The 21,120-nt window shown below is 40.7% G+C and overlaps 1 protein-coding gene across 11 annotated transcripts in view, besides 1 other annotated feature; it reads left to right on the top strand.

Annotated features, from left to right (window-relative positions):
* The window catches only part of NBAS (NBAS subunit of NRZ tethering complex), a 782,426-nt gene that overhangs the window by 372,783 nt on the left and 388,523 nt on the right, over positions 1–21,120 (top strand). For 9 of the 11 annotated variants that reach the window (XR_007076390.1, NR_052013.3, XM_017004317.2 and 6 more), the window contains 2 exons: positions 1,672–1,810; positions 9,436–9,564. Coding sequence is in view for 9 of the 11 variants with exons in the window: in XM_017004317.2 (XP_016859806.1) it covers positions 1,672–1,810; positions 9,436–9,564 (268 nt within the window). In the remaining 2 variants the exon portion in view is untranslated. The remainder of the gene's footprint in view (positions 1–1,671; positions 1,811–9,435; positions 9,565–21,120) is intronic. The other 2 variants (XM_047444734.1, XM_011510358.3) reach the window with 1 other exon arrangement.
* Positions 13,126–13,336: a silencer, noted in NCBI's record as "fragment chr2:15315340-15315550 (GRCh37/hg19 assembly coordinates)". NCBI's record gives its function as "represses an EF-1alpha promoter that drives an FKBP-Casp9 reporter gene in an ReSE screen in K562 erythroleukemia cells {active_cell/tissue: K562}" and the evidence as "EXISTENCE:reporter gene assay evidence [ECO:0000049][PMID:32094911]".

The raw sequence follows: 21,120 nt of genomic DNA, 5'->3' as shown, positions 1-21,120 counted from the left end.
GTCTGCTCACCCCCTCCCCTCCTATCATTCATGTCTCCTCTGCCTAAGAGATAACCAGGGCATAAATCAAATATTCTGGAGAATGTGTGATGGGATACTTTACAAACAGGTGCTCAGAAGTACTTTTGAATATTTTTTCCTTTTAGACAATCCAATTGAATAAATAAATCACCAAAAAAGGAGTGGGGGTGGAAGAGAGGGAGGATAGTGTGACAATGATGGTATGTTGCCCATCAACACAAAAAGGTTACAACTTAAGACATTTGTTTGATCCACATGACTATAATTTACTAGTACCAACTTTGGTTTTTTAGCTTTAGTTCCTTGTAGGAAAATGCATGGAAAAATACTGAGTTTGTACTTAAGGAAGATTCATTGTTTTCATCCAGTGTATCACTGCTGGCTGGTGAAAAACATATCTTGATAATTTGTTACCAAAGCCTCGTTGCCCATTGGTTCACCATGCTGGCCAAGCAGCATTTCTCCTACAATGAGAAAAACTGTAGAGAAAAACCCAGGAGAGCTGAGTTCAGACTTTGCAAGAGGAGAAAAGAGGGGAAGTCCTTGAGTGTAGGAAGACTCCTCAGCACACCAGACACTCTCACAGAACTGTGTGTACCTTGAAGTAAGCAGTGTTCTTTGTTCGCACAGATTGTCAGTTTGAGCTGAGACACAAAGGCTTTGCCAAGGGCTCGTCCCCTTGTTACTGTTGCACTTGAAATTCTTTTCAGGGCCCAAGGAATAAAATTCTTTCAAGGGCAAGACCATCCCTGGTTGTTCAATGTCTAGAATGTAGTGCTGTGCTAATGAACCAACAGACTCTTCATAAATAGTAATTTTTTCTTAATGTAAGTAAAATCAGTACCCTGCTCCTGGGCCATGAAATGAATTTACCATTAACTTGTCAATAGAAATGGAAATTTTGATGTTTCTATGAAACACAGGGTAGTGTCAGTCAAGACAAGGGAAAGAAACGGCAAACTTTTTTATGCTTTTATGTTTCCAATACAAGGAAACAACGTGAAGCCCAAAGTATGATCTTCATACTGCTTGTCTGTGGCTTCCTCAACCTATGCTCCCCAGCTGACCTCTGCTATGCAATACCCTGATTGTAACTTAGTCCTGCCCTGACCCCATTACAATAACAATAACAATGATAATAATAGTAATAATATCAACAAGAGGCAGTATTTATGTAGTAAATAGTAATGTGTGATTGCTATTAACACTGATTCTTCACAATTACATACATCATTCATTAAGGCAACTCTTCAAGGAAAAAAAAGTCATTAAATACCTTTTCACAGTGAAAAAAACTGAGGCCCAGAAGGGTGTGACTTCCCCAGAACCATACAACTAGGCAAAAGTATTAAATAACTTCTCTGAGGACCCAAATAGTCAGAATTTGGGCCCGAGTCTGTCTGGCTTCACAAAGCCTGTGCTGTTTCAATGCACTTACTACCTCCGTGCTGCTGGGCTGCTTGCTGATACCACAGGAAGCTGCTTTTTCTCCTTAAGGTGTTATCTTTTCTACAAGGTTGACTTGAAGCAGCACGTCACCTAGATTCTGATTGTAATTTACCGTAAGCATTTCACTTGTTTTAAAATTTATCACAATTATGATAACTTTAGTCATTTCCAGTGCCTTGTATTTTTCTCCATAAACACCAGCATAACCAATAATCCATGGGTGAGACTAGCTACAGTGATGCTAACCAGATGTACGATGGAGAACAAGGAAGGATTGGGGAATGAAGTTTTGAAAATGTGTCGCTCTTTGTATAACACCAAGCAGATGCTGCCTGCAGAGGTGAGTGGATATTTTGAGTGCTTTCCTAAGGAGTGGCCTTTGCTTATCAGAACTCTTTATTGTAAGCAATCCCAGAGACTGGATTTGAGGAACATTTAGCTTAAGTAATTACTGGTAAAGGCCATAATTTCTGATGGATCAGATGAAGAAAAGCAGTGCTGAAAGGATGCTTTGAGGCTGCTTTCTTTTTGTGGGGGCCAGCGTTTCCTGTACAAGTTCCAGAATATAACCCAGTTTTCAGTTTCTTCTGGATGCCCTTTTTTGTCAAACTCAAGTTTATGTTCCAAGTGGCCATGGTAGCTCAGGCATTATCTGTCTGAACTAGGCCAGTTGGTAAAGTAATAGTAAACTTTAGCACTCTTCTCAGCAGATAACCAACCACTTTGAATTTTACATGCTTTTTGACATCATTGTAACGAGATTGCATAATCACAATATTCTTTCTCTGCGAAGTATGGTCAAAACTCAGGCACCTCCTTTTTGACCTTTGTTCTCTATTTGATGCCATTTTGACTGTCACAGAGACATTTATTATATACATATATATTTTATATATATATGCATATATATACACACACACAGACACACATACATAAGTGTATATATATATATACACACATACATACACATATGTGTGTGTGTGTGTGTGTGTGTGTATATATATATGTATGTATGGAGAGAAAGAGGGAGAACATTCTAAAGTAAGCACATATTAATTTCAGCTCCCTGCTGTGGATCCCACCTCAGCGGTATATTATTTGAATAATTTACATGTCTTAAATTTAAGCATTTGGATAATGGCATTAAATTGATTTTGCATTCCTACTATGTAGGAGATAAACTTGAAAATAAATTTGTAAATATGATCCTTTAAATCCTTATTGTAATCACTCAAGGAAAATATTCTCATGAATGCACATTTAATGAATTGTTTTCTGAATGAGGGCTTGGATTTTTTTTATTGATTTTTGAAATATTTTATCCATTTAAAGAAGTCTTCCAACTACCAGAATGACACAATTATTCTACAAAATAAAGTACCAGCACCAAAAATTACCTCCCCTTACTCTAGTAAAGTGTGATTTGGGCTGTGGACCAAGGTCTGCTTGTATCAGCCACTTATGAACCCGTGATCTGCTCTGCTATATTGTGGGCTCCTGGAGAGGGGGAACCATGGCTATATCATGTCTGTGATACCCAGGGCAGGATTCAGCCCACTGTGTAGTATGGGGACTCAGTGCACTTCATTATCCCCACCAAAGTAAGCAACATGTAAATAACATGAGATTCACCTTTGCTTGAATATAAGCTAAGATCAAGCATTATTAGATCAGGACCAAAGACCAGCAGTGTTCTGCTGTCAGTTCTGTCGAATCTAGGTTAGGAAAGCATTGTTTAAGGTCTCCTGTTACTGCCTAACAGGAGGTGGTAATGGTGATAACCAACATTTGCTAACACTCTTGGGCTTTCATCTATATTGCCTCCTTTAACCTTCACCACCTTCTGTAAGGAGATTCATTTATCTCCACTTGACAGCTGATGGATTGGAGGGTTTGAGGTCAATGGTCTTGCTCCTGCTTCTTCAGGCAGTGAATGGTGGGTCTGATCTTCAAATCAAGTCTCTGTGCTTGAAAGCTTGAGAAAGGAATCCTTCCAGAGGAGCCATTCCTACTACCTTTGGGAGATACATGAATATTGAATGTCTCTCATACAATTGTATAAATGTTACTGTCAGTTTTCCTTTTTCAATACTTCCTTCAAGAATGGCCTATAGAATTTAGCATCTAGATGATCAGTATTTAAGATATAAGGTTGTTAGGATCTCTGTCATTGTCTGAAGAAGTTTATTTGTTCTTTAAAATACTCTTATCGGTTTGGTTTTACTGTAACTTTTGCAAGGCAAGGAATGTAAGTTGGCTATGACATGGCCACTGCATCCTTGACCCTGACATCATCTCACCAGCTAGCTAATCAAGGCTCAGTAACAGTTATGTGTATCAGGCTTCCCCAAACCCCAGGCCGAGGACTGCTATCAGTCCATGGCCTGTCAGGTACCAGACTGCACTGCAGGAGGTGAGTGGCTGGCGATGAGTGAAGCTTCATCTGTATTTACAGCTGCTCCCATCATTTACATTACTGTCTCAGTTCCACCTCCTGTCGTATCAGTGGTGGCACAAGATTCTTATAGGAGCACAAGCTCTATTGTGAACTACACATGCGAGGGATCTGGGTTGTGCACTCCTTATTCCTTATGATGATGCGTCACTGTAGCCCATCGCCCCTCGGTGGGACCATCTAGTTGCAGGAAAACAAGCTCAGGGTTCCCACTGATTCTATATTATGGTGAGTTGTATAATTATTTCATTAGATATTACAGTGTAATACTAATAGAAATAAAGTGCCCAATAAATCTAATGTGCTTGAATCATCCCAAAACTATCCCCTCCATGGGGTGGACTATTCCATAGTCCATGGAATAATTTTCATCCACAAAACCAGTCCCTGGGGCCAAAACGACCTATAGGGACCACTTGATATGTACTATCTTTTAGCCGCCTGGGAATAAGTCCTAGACATATCTGTGTCCATGGCAGTAATATTCTCGTCAGCATTCCATTTACATTTTACATACATAGAAGAATAGCGTGTTCTTTTTACTGATGAATGTGTAAGAAGCTGTGCTTTCTGTTTCCTATCGGAAAATGACTTGGTGGTTAAATGAAAAGTTCTGATTTAGCTGTGATGATTCAGCTTCCTAGTAAGTGTCTACAGCCAGGGGGAGGTACTTTGACAAATAGAGTAATACATTAAGTTTATTTGCAGGGGTCTCATTTGATCTCAGAATCATCTGGTCAGTGATTGCTAAGTGTTTTTTAAGAGGTCAGAAAAGATAGCACAGCACCTAAAGCACACATCGGTTAGAGCACTCCTCACACACTCCATGGGAAGGGATGTACTGCGTCTGCTCTTTATTAAGACTAGGAGCACCTTAAGGGCAGGGAACATCATACATAGTAGAACAGAAAGAACTCTAGTAATGCTCGAAGCTGTACTGTTTCTCTTCCAGAATGGGCCACATCTGTGTGAACATGAGAAAAGCCCCAAACTCTCTGGATCTTTGTTTTCTGGTCTGTGAAAGAAGAGGTTAAGCTGGATGAGAAAATGCTAGTTCTGTCTATTCTCTAAGGAGAATGAGCTGAGGCTGTATGTGTACTGCTTCATCCATAGCACATAATTCACTACCTTTCATAAATGTGTAATTCTCTCGGGATGAGAGACAAGGTACTGGGTTAAATCCCGTTGCAAAGTAGGTCGTTATCATGTTTCTTTAATTTGATGAAACAAAAGATAATTATTCAAAGAGTTCTGTTGTCACCGTGACTTTCCATCGTTTTCCTTAAGCTGCCTCAGTTTCTGTCTCTCAATTGGGCACATTTATAGATTATGTTTTCCTGAGGCTGCTGTGATTAGAGGCTATTTGCAAATGGTATGTACTGTTTTTACTGATGGCTAAATGTGCTCAAATGTGAATTGAAAGTGTTACAGAGGAAGGAACATTACTATTAAAAAGTGGCAGTATCTTTTTAAGTTTATTTTACTACACTTGGAAGTTGACGAGTTTAATTTCAGAGTTCTACAATGTTTTATATCACTGTGGTGGTAAAATTATCTGTTACTTATGATTTTTTTTTTCCTAAATTCAATACCTTTGGTTGTCGTACTCCATGATTTAGGAAACGTGTGTGCCTAATTGTTTATGTCAGAGTACTTAAGAGTACTCACCTTTTTCTTCATCTCCATTTCCCGTTTTTCACTAAGCTCCCATGCTTACAGACTTTTAAAAAAATTCACGACTCCTCAGAATGCCTTCGTGACTCCTGCTGTTGCTCCTGGGACTTGCTTACTTATGGCCATGATGGTTTTCCTGATGGAAAATATTACCAGCAGGATGAGTGACTTTCTCACAGGTCCTGTGTACCACAGTCTCAAAAGTTATGTATCCTTCTCAGCTTGTATCCATGGCAGTATATAAAGCCCTCTCAAGACTTGGGAATAGGTAGAATAAGAAATTGGCATAAACAGTTTGTTGGCATTTATAGATGTAAAATTCCGAGGTCCCGCTATTTGTGACTGACCCTGAAGGTCCAGGATTTCGCTGAGACGAAACATGGGTTAGTCACCGATGCTTGGGGTCTATTGTATGGGATTAAGTCACCCAGCTCATGAGTGAGCCTTAATAATTCCCAGCTTCTAAAAGTCAATGTGATTGTTCTCTATCAGGGTTGAGCCACTTTTGCTAATGTCAAGAGCTTGATTTTTAGAATCAGTCAAGTTATGCAATAACACTCAAGTTATTTAACCATTTTACCTCTGCTTTCCCCATCTGATTAGTAGGGCTGAGATCACACCTTTCTCAAAGGATTTGAGGAGAAATTAAATGAGATGATGCATTTCAAAGCAAAGTATATAACAAACACTTGATGTTCAGCTCAGAGCAGCTGCCTTGCTGGTAGAGATCACAGTCCAAGAGGCACGGCTAGTGCCCTGGAGGTCGAGCAGCAGGCCCAGCACAACCTGAGAGGCTCTGGAGAACACAAAACCAAAGCCGCTGCAGTGCCCAGTTGGCCCAGGTACAGTGCCTGGTGGCCAGTGTGGAGGCCCAGCTGGCCAAGATTGTGATCAACCTGGGGCTGCAGAACCAGCAGTGCCAGGGGCTTCTGGACATCCAGGCAACAGCAATGGGAGCTCAGCCCATTCTAGGCCTGCTGGAGGGCAAGGACTGCAAGCTGCCTTGCAGCCCCCATGCAATGCCTGGGGCATGTGATAAGCCCCTCGGTCTCTGCATCACCAATCCCTGCATACCTTGTGCCCCTAGTTCCTGCTGTAGGCCCTGCAACACCTTTTGATGCTAGATACTCCAGGGACAGTAGGAGAGTTGTGTGAGGACAGAAGGCATATTTGTGAACTGGTCCTGCTTCTCTCATGACTGTCAGACAATGGGAACAGTGCCCCAGTGCATCTCATAAATCATAGTCCACTGGGAAAAGAAACATCCAGGTCTGTGGCCTGGCTCTAAGCCTGGGCCCACCTAGTCCTCTCCATCCAAGGCATCTCTTGTTCGTTCTGTCCTCATGGTCTGACAGGTTTGAACTGCGAAGGCCTGTCAAATGACGTGTTTTGTGGCTTTTCTCTGCTGCTTCGACCTTTCTTGCAGTTCCCCAAATCCCTTTGTAAATCTCTTAATAAACGTTCTCTTGCAACACAGGGGGAAAGTAGCAAACAAACATAGTAGAGGATTTAGCACTTAAAGATAGAGTAAGTATTTGGCCAATCACTGGTAGCTAAGAGATGAAAAGTAGTCAGTGGCTCACCTAAAGTGGGTTCCTCCCTTCTTGGATATCCTTGCCTCTCTGTGTGCCATCTATCCATTATGCTTGCTCAGAGGGACACACAGGTTATTCCATAAAATTTGTCATGAAAGCCAAGGTCAGCCAAGTGTCATGCTATGTCTAAATATCATAAATCCTTGAAAATGCATGTTTACTCATCACTGATAACTTTTTGAGTGAGCAAATGTGTGTTCAGAGAGGGAATTATATACAAGGAGTTTTAGGTATGGCATGTACCAAGCAAGTTTAGAATACAGAGAAGGAACAATATTCTTGCCCAAAAGCAAGGCAGGTAGACCGATGAATGACTACCATAATACAAGATAAAAGATAAGGTGGGAAATATTTATACAGTACATTTAGAACATTGAGTGCTAACCTGGGACATTTAAGGGTGCTTTTGCGGAGGAAGTATAGTTTTTCTGTGCATTTTTAAACTGAGACTTAAAGAGCAAGTAGACGGTTAATCAGACAGAGAAAGAGCAAAAGTTACACTATGTGCAAACACCTGGAGGTGTGAGAGTCCAGCACCCAGCAGCCATACTGCCTAATATGGTAGCCGCTGGCCCCATGTGGCTTATTAAACCCTTTAAGTAAAATTAAAAATGCAGTTCCTCGGTTGCACTAGCCCCACCTCAAATGTAGCTTGTGCCTTGTGGCTGCGGTATTGGGCAGTGCAGATACAGAATGTGTGTGTTGTGTCAGAAGGGGCCCCGCACATCACTTTGTGTGGAATGCTTAGGTGGGGAGCACTGCCATGACCCGAGAGGAGGAGGAAGAGGCCACAGGATGCGGCCAGCCAGGCCAGAGTGCCATGCTCAGGAGCTTGTTTCATGCTCCCAAATAATCTTCTGCAGGTTTCGGCATCCCGGATGAAAAGTCTGCCTGTTTCTTTGCCCCAGATGCTTGGTGAGACTGCTCTGTGTCACGTGTTCTTTCAGGCATACACCGTACTTTTTTGAATTAGAATTCCCGATGTATGAGGAATGTGTTTTACAAACTGCTACCCTGCTGGTATTGATCATTGTCACACAGGTTTGTGTAGCACAGCCTTCTACTCTGAAACGTGAGGGCCTTGCAGATTTCAAGAGCAGACATGCTGGGTGAAAGCTAAAACTATAATGTGCAGAATTCCCAAGAGAACTTTATCCTGAGTTTAAATGCGAGCTTACTTGTGTCATTCTTATTTTATTGATGCTCTATAATAATGTAAAGCAATTTTGAAAATATAGTAAATTTGAGTTTTTCTTCTCCGATCTGCTGTCTGAATGGCACGAGAGAAAAATCAATCCCGTGGATAGCAATGATCATCAGTTCTTTAGAGCAACCCTTGCTTTAGTGTAATGGAGTCATTCATCGTCTGGTTTTTGGTCCAAAGTGTTCTCTTCTTTATGTTACAGCTAAAGTCAGGACCTAAATGGCAACACAGCTCAGCAGGGCAAAACAGATTGCAAATCTTATTCTTATTGTTTTATGCTTTTGTTGTAAAGGATTATCATTTGTTACCTTATACGAAAGCCTGCTCTGTGACCACAGGTTCAGTTGGTAAAATACAGGGCTGAGAATAAAATTCAGATACACCTGTGGGGATCCAAACACATTTTCATTTTTCTGCAACACAGATAGTTTTCGTGAAGATAGACTGTCTTAAGTATATTAAGGAGTCAATTCATTTTGACATTAAAATGATAGATACATTTTAAAATATTTTATTTGCTGATTTCCTTTGTTTCAGTGAATGACAACTAGAGGTTGTTAACAATATTAGCAATTGATAATACTTTTTATTATAATTCAGCCTCCACTATATGCTGAGCGTTGTATGCTGCGTTCATCAATACAAACTCTCTCTCTCTCACACACACACACACACAAAACACAAAACCTGCAAAGGAGCTATAAATACATACATTTTACTTATGAGGAAATTAGGGCTGTGAGAGTTTAGGAAAATAAATTATACCACTATATCTGTACAATGAGCATTACAAAGCCATTAAAAAGCAATATTGTCGATGAATATCTGATAGCTTGGAAATCTGTACACAGTTTACTGTGAACCAAGTGAAGCAGGTACCAACGCCCATATTCAGTATATCCAGTGCGGTACCATATGTGGCTTTACACACACACACACACGCTACCACAGAAAAAGGGGTGGAATGATCCAGCCAGAACCGTGCCGGTGAGAAGTACGTCGTGGAGTTCTCGCTCACCCCTGCTCTGTGGTTTCAGGGTGTGAAGGAGCTGTGTCTGCTGCTGCTTAACCAGTCCCTCCTGCTTCCATCTCTGAAACTTCTCCTCGAGAGCCGAGATGAGCATCTGCACGAGATGGCACTGGAGCAAATCACGGCAGTCACTACGGTATGCCCAGTTGAATTTACTTTCTTTCTTTTTTTTTTTTTAATGTTTCAAAGGAATGAATTAGCACTTTCATTCTCATAAATAACACCGTGGTTAATTGAAGACTACTATATCTATAGTATTCTCTGACCACAATAGCTGTTCCTGTTTTGTCCCAGCAGTGTATGTTTATTTTACAAACACTTACTAAGCTCTTCCCGTGAACCAGATTCAGTGTTTTTGGTGCTCAGAATACAAATCCAAATAAGAAGACAGTTTTCTACAGAAGCAGGATGTTAGTCTCCTTAAGAAGATCAAAGCAGCCATCAACTAGCAGTCCTCTTGCTACTTGAAATTTGGGTCTAGGGAACTCCCATCATTGCACAGGTTTTCCATCTGTGGATGTGTGTGTTAGGTTATCCACTAATTAAAGGTAAGACAGTGGGTTTAAGTAGTGTTTACTGGCACCATCTGAAATCTCAAACTCTGATTTCCTCTGGCAACCTTCTTGTCTTGAAGAGTAATGTACTGGAGTCAACTTGAGATTTCTCCCTCAAGGCCTGTTGCCTTGTTATTATGATTAGGAAGAAACTTTCTCTTCTCATTTAAAATTTTCCACTTTAGGATTAGATAGCTTAGGGTTGTGTTTTAACGAACTCATGTTGTATGATCCTTACTGAAGCCCTTTTGTGTGGAGATCATTCTTTCATTTGAAGTGTATGTATGTCTGTTTGAGTATGTACACTATACACATACACATACATGCACACATATGTAATTTTACATTGTATATATACATATATATGTATATATACACATGCATGCTATTTTTTTAAACAAAAATGTGGCAGGATATCTTCTAGGGACCAGAGAAGGAAGGAGAATCTAGAGCAGAGGTATATGCTTGCTACTCAAGACAGTGAAGAGGTTGATGAAAAGACATCACTGATATAAAGTTTTCTTAATGACAAAGGATACAGAAAATTCTGTAAATAGTTACAGAAAGCAGAATATAATTGTATTTGGAAATAATCATTATGAATAAAATGAGAAAATCAAATGCCTTTATTCATTTAGATGTGTTTTTAAAATAATGTAAAAGCTTCTGCAAGGGTTTTGTGAATACCGTACCTGATCACCAATAATTAATCAGAACGAAGGCCTCTTTGGGACCTTGACTGAAGTAGGGAATCAAGGGGACTTGCCTTTCCGTAGCCCTCCCACCTATCTATGCTGAAATGAAAGTTGAATAACTTGGAGAATTTATATGAAACAGAATTATAATGAGTTTTTTTCTTAGCCAGTTTTTTCTTATAAATCCAAGAAATTGGTAAGAAGAGAAAACTTCTGCATATTCTCAGTGCATTTTTTTTCCTCCCCACCCTCGTACACTGTGTTAGGCATTCTCACAAAAATTTGCCATGGGCCTCTTTGAGAATAAAACAGTGATGTATTATACAGTGCCTTTCCATATTCATCATAAATGGAGCTCTCTTGATACAGTCCTGGATTCCATGGGCAGAGTGTATCAGTTTTCATTTTAAAGATTCTTTATCTCAAATGCATCTGTCAGAACTGCAACTAGCACAGGCGGTCCCTAACTGCTGACTAATCTTACTACCCACACAGCAGCATTTCCCCCACATACCTACACAGTAACTATCAAAATAAGAAACTAAATGACTAAATGGTAACACTGCAGTGCCCAAGTCCCTTTAATATGGCACTGATTTACTTCCGTAACACTTTGATCTGCACGTTAGATGTGCTGCATGGTGCTAAGCCTGTGGTTTTGAAACTGCTCTGCAGACTGTGAGTAGTTTGCCTGTGGTTGTGATGATAGCGCACGAAACGTCTGTGCCCTTCAGATCCAAGAATCAAAGCCACAGGTATAAATTGCTAAGATGAGTCACTTGCCTACCATTCAGATCCTTCCTTTTAGAAATTCGGTAATGAGACTGAACTGTAACATCTCTGCATTAAGTTGAATGCTCACATTAGGCTAGCCCATCTGTGCCCTAAAAATGTGTCCCACAAAAAGACCTTTTGCAGTCCCCAGAGGCTAAGGTTTTACAGAGTTTTCCATTTTAAAAACATTTTTTTAACTTTTTGAGATAATTTTAAATTCACGTTCAGTTGTAAGAAATGATATAGCAAGGTCTCTCACATTCTTCACCCAGTTCCCCCCAGTGTGACATCTTTCATGACTAGAGTATACAGGTTGAACACCTCTAATCCAGAAATCCAAAATGGCCTCAAATTCAACACTTTTGAACACCAACATGACATTCAAAGGAAAATGCTCATTAGAACATTTCAGATTCCAGACTTCAGATTTTCTGATTAGGAATACTCAACAAGTAAGTATAATGCAAATATTCCAAAATCTGAAAAAACTGACACTTCTGAGCTCAAGCTTTTTGGATAAGGGATACTTACCTGTAATATTATGACCCGGTTGCTGACATTGATTCAATCTGTCAACATTATACAGATTTTATGAGTTTTGCAGACACTCTTGAGTGTATGTGTGTGTGTGTGTGTGTGTGTCTCCATGTGACATTGTCACCTGTAACTTCGTGTGACCACTAACTGCAGTCAAGGTACCAGACACAAGGATCTCTCATACTGTCCTTTATAGCCACAGCCACCTTCTTCCTCCCCACCTCCTGAACAACCCCTGGCAACTGCTAATCTGTTCTCTGTAATTGTATCATTTTAAAATGCTACATAAATAAAATATGAAATCACTGTAATTAATCATTGCTCTTCCAACACCATTAAAGGGTTGTGTTACACTTTTCTAAGGGAAGAGTTTCAGTGGGCATTTTGGCCCGACTCACGTCTAGCTGTTTTTAAGTCATCCTTGGTATTGCAATGAAAAATAGAAAACTTTTGCTTTCTTTTTGTTGCTTTTATTTTGCTATTCACCGTGTCCATTAGCAGGGCGCTTGAGTTCATCAATAACTTCAGTTTTCCCCTTATTGGTTGTTGACAGTAGCTCCTATTGACATTAAAAGAAAAACATCTGGCAGAGGCACTCCGTTGATAGCAGTCTCTCCTGCATGGTGTGCAGATCCAAGTTTAAAAACACCCCCACTTGTTTGCTGATAGCATGTATTATTTTGCTATTCATTATAAGATACTGACAGCTTTATAGGTGTTTACAGTTAAAAGGATGATGCTTAAGTGCTGATGCCAGAGATTGTACTGACTTTTCCTCTAGCAGTAGTACTCATTTCTTTCTCTAAGCTTTTCCGAAATTGCAGACCTCTGGTGCGTGTAACCTTTTATAAATGGCCAACAGCCTCTTTCCTGGGCCAGAAATGGAAAGTCCTTCCTTGAGATTGTATTGATGATGAACAATTAAAACCCTGCATGGTATAGACTTCTGGATTACCTTCTCCATCACTCTCAGTAAAATTGAGAGCTCACTTTCAAAACCGTATTCTCTCTAAGATGGGCAATGCTGCTGATGTGTTTGACTCGCATCTCTGGAATATTTTCTGTTTGGATGGAAGCCTCTTGACTTGTTTCATCAAAGTAAGCAGATACGTATTTATAACGGCTTTGTATGCTGAAAATTCCCATTTTGTAATTCCCGATTTGTAACGGCTCCTGCTCTTCATTGCTTCCTCCTCTTTGGTACTGCTCAATGCCTCTATGCAACCCCTCATCCCAGGGGTTGTCCTGGACTGTGCTGTCTATTAAAATAGTAATTCATGGGGTTATAAAAGAAGTGTTGGCCGGGCACGGTGGCTCACACCTGTAATCCAGCAGTTTGGGAGGCCGAGGAGGGTGGATCATGAGGTCAGGAGATCGAGACCATCCTGGCTAACACGGTGAAACCCCGTCTCCACTAAAAATACAAAAAATTAGCCAGTTGTGGTGGTGGGTGCCTGTAGTCCCAGCTACTCGGGAGTCTGAGGCAGGAGAATGGTGTGGACCCGGGAGGTGGAGCTGCAGTGAGCTGAGATCGCGCCACTGCACTCCAGCCTGCAGTGAGACTCCGTCTCAAAAAAATAAATAAATAAAAAATAAAAAGTGTTTAGGACCTCCGGTACCTAATTAAGGGTTTCTCCTTGATGACAATAATTACCATCTTGCAAATCCCACCTCTTTGCCAAGTACTATAATAGGTACATTCTCTTTTTTTGTTAATGATTGTATGAGAAGATATTATTATTTTGGTTTCACAGATGAGAACATGAGGCTCAGGGGTCACACAGCTAGTAAGCAGCCAAAGCTGAAATGTAAACACCAGACCTAACATTCAAAGTCTATACCCCACCATGCTTCTGCTTTTAACCTAAGTAGGAAGGCTTTATTATATTGGAAAAGGGTTATTTCTACAGAGGAATGAAGTTGTTGAAAGCACCTTGAGGCATATAATATTAGCTCTGCAAAACACTAGAGCAGACCTACCCCAACAACTCGCCTAGCTGTGCTTCCTTTTTAAGCCCACTTACTCTCCCAGGCTCCAGCTGAACACTGCAGGGGGCTCTGGGCCATTTTGGGTGAGATTATGACACGAGAGCACCTCCTAAATGAAACCTATACCCCTTTATCTTCAACACATTGACCTTAGTCCTGCCCTGGGGATTTTCTCAGATCACTAATGTCCTTCTTCCAGTGACAGTCCTTCACATATTTGATAAATGTGATTCCTATCCCCTGTAATCTTGCCATGAAGGCACCAGAACCTTCTAGCATTATTTACAGTGGCCAGTGTCCAAGCTGGGGGGAGAACCATAAAGATTTTCAGAAACGCATGTGTGAATCGACATATTTATACAAAACCAAGAAACCTTCCTGTCTTTGGTCCCCTTTAACTCTGTCCAGGTTTCAAAGTTGTGGGTATGTCTATTTATTTCTATCGTTTTAACCTGAACATACAGAGATCTGACTTGTACCTCCTGTCTGGATGCGTCCAGCAATAGGCAGCTCACTCTGCAGGTCAGCCTGGGATTCCTAAACAGCACTAGTGGTTGGTTAATTTACTTGGTATGAACAGACATATCAAGCATGCATTGTGCACAGCCTGGCACTGTGTATGAAGTGAAGAATAGGTAAGACGCTTGTAAAGATGCGATAAAATATTATTATCCCTGTGCTTAAATGAATAATCTCATGGAGAGATTGACATGTGAAATAATAACACGAAGAATTAACGAAGGTAGCAAGGAGGTAGGTACAGCGTGTGGAACTAGCCAGATCAGGGCCCTCAAATCCAGCATGTGGGTTTGGTTGCAGAGGTGATCAAGCTTGGATTTTCAAAGATTGTCTCCGTCTCGTTGTGAGATCGTGAGCAGATGATTTGTCATAGTTTTGGTTTCAGAAGTAGTATTCCATTAAGTGCCATGCCAGGAGTGAAACTGATGGTATGCTGAGAAAATGGAAACTGCATATCATATTCAAGTAAATACAGAATACAAAAATTATCTGTATGTGTTTTTCTCAAGCGTATACTTACGTTGTCCTTTTATTTTTCTACCCTTGTGGTTGATATTTTAATAACTTTTATTAGTAATAGTATATATGAGAACAAGACAAATATGTTTCCCTAAAGTAAACAGTGAAATAGTATTAAATAATCTTGAAAGCAAATGAAATGAGGGCTGCATGCATTATGCTTCTGGAATTTCAGCTTTCCTCATTATTGTAATTACTCTTAGCTTGATATAGATCCATAAAATCAAAGATTTTAAATCAGAGAAGGTTCATTACCTATTGTTGGAAGAGGAATTAAGCAGATAACATTTTAATGGCTTGGAAGACAGCAGTGCTTTGTGCTTTAATAGATTTCTTTCCCAAGATCTGTAAAGTATCATTTATTCTCAAAAATTAATTGCTGACACACAAAAAACAATCTCTGACAGAGATAGCAAGCATTTTACTCATCTTCTGATATATATAAGCCCTTCCCTTTCTAGAAAATCCTTTTCTCATGATTTGTTTGCCTGTATTAACATCAGCTATTTACTGAACCTGGACTCTGCACTTGGCATTGTGCTGGGCACTTAAAAGCTTGTATTATTCCCAACCCTTACAGACAGTGTGTATTTCTGATGTGGAAACTGGAGCTCAGAGAGATCGTCCTGAACAAGGTCACACAGTTGTTTAGTGACAGAACCAGGATTGGAAATTTGTCTCTAACCCAAAAGCCTGTCTTCTTTTCATAGCACCAGACTATCTCTCACTGTAATTCAAAGTTATTTGATCAGGGGAATTAAGTCAACTAATTCTCTGGACTTGTCTCATATTTATTTCTCACATCCAAACCGCATCCAAAAATGACAGAATATATTTTCTTTCTCATGCCCCTTAAGCACCAGTCAACCCACTGGCAGGGCTGTGTGATTTTCCACAGACCATATACCAAAGTCAATTTCTGATCAATTTAAAAGTCAAATGTTGTTAAAAGTCAGAAAATATAAAAATAACATATCAGTTCCTTTGAGGAATTGTAAGTTCTGAGTTTTAAAGCAATAAAACAAGTCATAAAGGAGTAGATCCTTTCCTGACAATATGAAAGTGTAAAACTTCTATACAACAAAAAACAACCGAAACAGAACTGTAAACAATAGGTTAGAATGTTCATGATAACAAAAATCAGGGTTAAGATTTCAGTTATACAGAGAATCCTTCACATGTGAAAGAGTGGGAAGCTGTTATAACTCTCCTAAATGAGTGAATGATTGATTCTTCCCACAACAAAAAATAAAAATGATAGGAAATTTATGGAAAAATTCATTCTTGCAAATAAATTCAAATGAAAGCAACCTTGAGGTACCATTACATATCTCCTAAATTAGCAAGTGATTTTTTCCTATCAAAATATTAACACCTAAAGCTGAGAAGTTCGTGATGTGACACTGATGCATTCCCATGCTGATGTCACCGCTGTAAGCTGGCACAGTTGACATCATTATGTGGTTGTGCTTACATTCATATTTAGAACCAAAAAAATGTTTCAGATACTTTGCCTGATGTATTAATTTGCTCATATTACCCTAACAAAGTACCACAGACTAAGTGACTTAAACAAGAGAAATTTATTTTCCTACAGTTTTGGAGACCAGAAGTCTGATGTCAAGGTGTAAGGTTGGTTTCTTCCCAGGCCTCTCTCCTTGGCGTGTCGACGGCCGCCTTCTCACTGTCCTCACATGGCTGACCCTTGCTTTGTGTGCGTGTCCTGTCTTCTCTTCTTGTAAGGACACCGGTTATATCGGAGTCCATCCTGATGACCTCATTTTACCTTCATTGCCTCTTTAAAGTCCCTGTCTGTAAATAAAGTCACATTGTGAGGTACTGAGGGTAAGGGCTTCGACATACGAATTTGTGCGGGACACAGTTCAGCCCGTAACACTGCAGTGATACCTCCCCTGGTAACTTGTCCTATGCCGATAATTTCGATGAAGAAGAAAGTATGTGCAAAAAAACATTCATGGTAGTGTTTCAGTAATATCAGACAACTTAAAATGGCTGAAATATTTATAGAAGTCAAATAACTTATAACAACTATTTTGCAGCCATTAAAATTTTTAAGACTGAAAACTATGTAAAAAACAATTTAAAAATTCTTAGCATATAATGAGAAAAATAGAATACAAATATCATACGATTAATTGTGGGAAAAAAATCTATGCACATGGACAGTTACTGGAGAGGAAAGGAGGGTGAAATAATTCTCTTGTGGTGACCCAAACATGGATGACATACAAATTACCGTCACACAGCCTGAAGAGCCAGACCTCAGGTGCCTTGGGAGTATGGAGGAAGGAGGAATCAGCTTGGCCAAGAGAGTTAAACAAAATGTCAGCAAGAAGGTGGCATGTTTTTTTCCAACTATTTCCACTTTTTTATTTTTATCTTAAAAAGAAAAAGTAGGTTAGAATGAATAATGCATGGTCAGAGAGTACCAAGCTTCTGTGGCAGATAGTACTAAAGTTTTAGTATGTTTAGTACAAATTTTAGTCAAAAACAAGAAAAAACAAAGACAACTTGAGGCTTAACAAATTAATCCAGCAACTCAGCAGTGTGCTGATGTCACAGTGTTGGAGAGTGCTTTGGGACAGGACACCCAGCACTCGGCTGTGCTGATGGGAAGGATTCTGTCTGGCCTTGGTGCCCTGATATGTAGAAAGGAACATCTTGGCTGTCTATGACCTGTTCCTTCTCTGAACCTCAGACGACTCTTTAAAATGTACTTGTTGGAATGGGTCATTACAAAGGCCATCTCTTTCTTTCTTCTTTCATTTTCTATTTTGTTCCCAAATACACACAGAAAAATTATCTATGCAGTATTTTCCGTGCAGCTGACAATCTTAAAGTATACTCTGGCCATTCTGTATTTCTTGCAAAGAGCCAGGCCCAGGTAGAATGTCAGAGAAAGGAAATAAGATAAAGTCACCCACCCTGCGTTTCCAGCACTTGATTTTATCTGAAGCCAAACCCAAAATTCCTCCCAACCTTTCCCTGCTCACTGCCCAAGCTCAATGCAGGTCAGCAAACGCAGACCTTTATCGTTCTTTAGGGAACCTCTGAGTGGGCCGGGGCCAAGGGGAAGGAAGCATGCATTTCATTTCCGTGTCTTTAGCCTTAGGCATTCTCAGCCAAGAAGGCAAGCAGCAGGCTTTTGGAGAAAAGACAGCCTACCCTGCCCTTCCCCACCCCTTGCCCTCCCTGCCAGAATGAGAGCAGCTTCTGAAAAGCTGGGTATATCCAGCCAGAAACACGGGAAGGATTTGGTTGCACTGGATAGAAACACAAACTATGAAGGGAATGAGAGCAGCAGCGGCCGCAGGCGTTAACAGAACCCCTGTCTCTTCCTCAGGCTGGAAGAATCCATCACTACCTCTCTAGGAGACTGTCGGGCTCCCAGAGGGGAGGGTTAGTGAGTAAACTGAAAGAATAATAAAGGTGTCCCAGCCTAGAAGACGTATTCAGGGCAACAAAGAAAGTATTGCCCTGCAGTGTTCAGATTCTGAGCCTTTTATCTGTGCATCTTATCAAACATGTGCCTGTAGCATCCTGGCACACACTGTTCTGTCCTGCAGGGTTAGGCAGGGGGATTCTTTGTTTTGAAGGATGAACCAAGATAACACATACAGTAACTCAGATGCCCTGTGTGTGTGCACGCATTAGCATGTGCATGCACGTGGCTGGAGGCAGCCACACAGACTGAAAGAATGTGAGCTTTGGAGTGATTCATTCACTTGGGTATTCATTCCACAAATCTTGCTCAGCTCCTAGCATGTGACCACCCATTCTGGACATGGGGATACAGGGGTGAACAGAAGAGACAAGATCTCTGCTCCATAGGAACTTGTGTTCTGGAGGGAAACAAACAATAAACAAGTAAACTAGGCCGAGACACGGGCTTCTAGGCCACTCCACCATGGAGCAACTGTATCACACTTGACCTCACTGAACCTGCCTCTGTCAGAGGAGGTGAGAACTGTCTTGAAGGGATGTCTGAAGACTTCAAGGGCCTCTCAGGGTTCTGGCACGTAGACACCGTGCTGCTGAGGGCAGGAGCTCTGTGGGGTTGAGACTCTTGTTTGCTAGGCATGAAGAGACAGGGAGAGAAGTGGGATGGAAAGAAGGCATTCAGAACTCACAGGCAGCCCCAGCGAGGAGAAGTCAAAGCTCCGTGCCCCTTCCAGCACAAAAGCAAGTCCATTGAACCGGTGGCTTTTTCTGTCATCTAGCTCCTAAAAACAAAAACAAAGGTAAATTCCTGGAGTTCAACCTAAGTGTTTTGGGTCAAAGGTGGGGTCAAAGGTGGGCTGTACAAGTGTTCATGAATTGGGAGGCCGGAGAAAAGACACTGAGGGTTTGCAGAGAGGGTCTTCTGTTCTGGAGTCTAGTTCTATTCAGTCTCTCTGAGAGGTAGGGTCTTTATCGTGTACTTGTGCAGTTTACAAAAATGTGACAAAGTTTCATAATGTAGGTTCACTCAGCCATTTAACAAATGTTAATGAAATGGGGAGCTGAAATGTAAAAGTGATAAAACTTCTGTGCCTTCAAGAATTTCCCAGTCGGTAAGGGAGACAGACATACAAATTACTATCATACAGGCCGGGCACGGTGGCCACGCCTGTAATCCCAGCCCTTTGGGAGGCCAAAGTGAGTGGATCACCTGAGGTCAGGAGTTCGAGACCAGCCTGACCAACATGGTGAAACACCATCTCTAATAAATACAAAAAATTAGCCAGGCGTGGTGCCATGCACCTGTAATCCCAGTTACTTGGGAGGATGAGGCAGGAGAACCGCTTGAACCCAAGAGGAGGAGGTTGCAGTGAGCCGAGATTGCACCACTGCACTCTAGCCTGGGCAACAAGAGTAAAACTCCATCTCAAAAAAGAAATAAATAAAATAAAATTACTTATCATACAGCATGAAGAGGCAGATCTCAGGCATCTTGGGAGTATGGAGGAAGGAGGAATCCTTGGTCATACTCCCAAGTATTGGCCAAGAGAGTTAAAGAAAATGTCAGCAAGAAGATGGCATTGGAGGTGATGTTTACATTGGGTTTTGAATGACCCCTGTGGGTAGTAGGAAAGATTCACGCTATCCGATAGTGGGCAGGATTTTATTCTCAGTACTTCTCTTGCTTTAATTCTCACAGTCAGTAGACAAGTAGACACAGTTGACCTTCGCATCTTCAATAGCCTTTCTTCCTTGTCACAGAACATGCAGGAAGAGCACATTGTGTACAGTTGCATAATATAGTTGGTCTAAACGTTAGTTAATTGGCTTTGACATTATTTCTGAGAGTCCTACAATCCAAATTATTAAAAAGGCACAGTAACGTTAAGAAAAGCCTGTCAGGAATCTGTTTTATGATACCCCAATGTAAGTGAGAAGCTCCGAATTTTGATAATATGATCAGTGTGGACTTGATTCTTTAAAAAAATATTGAAAATAATACATATATTTAGAAGACAAGACCAGGGAGAAAGAGAATACGCAAACTGAAAGAACCTATGAAACCGTTTTTTAAAAGGCAAGGTTGGTACTGAGCTTCCTAGAGGCTGAAGCAAAAATAGTTTAAAACCCCACTGTTGGTTATCTTACTCGTATCAGTGGGCTTGAGGGACATACTCTTCTCTCAATGGAGTACAAAAAAGGTTTTCTTGTTCCAAAAAAATTTTTTTCATGTGTATTTATATTCAAGAAAGATACAGCATTAAAGAATGTGGATCACAGTGAAAGTACAAATGAAACAGTAAATGTGGTTGTTAAGAGCACAGACTTTGATGTCAAGATTGACCCAAATTTACAATCTGGCTCTACAACTGGTTACAATGTTAAGCAAAGTTGCTACACCTCAGTTTCCTTTTCTGTCAATTGGGAGGTAAAAGTGCCAGTCACGGGGTTGAATCAGAAGGCCTTGGTGAAGAGATGCTGGTACAGTGTTGAATAGTTTCTGGCACCCAGTATCTGGAAGCTGTAGTGATGATTGCAGTGGGGTTCTTGTGTCTTCTTATGTTAAGAGGAGCCCCGTCTGTCATCCCAATCTGTGACCTACCTCAGAGGTGCTCGTGACCCACACACGCTTTTAAACCCAGG

The sequence above is a fragment of the Homo sapiens genome, chromosome 2, assembly GCF_000001405.40.
Source record: "Homo sapiens chromosome 2, GRCh38.p14 Primary Assembly".
Classification (NCBI taxonomy): domain Eukaryota; kingdom Metazoa; phylum Chordata; class Mammalia; order Primates; family Hominidae; genus Homo; species Homo sapiens.
This window is presented reverse-complemented; position numbering and strand designations above follow the sequence as displayed.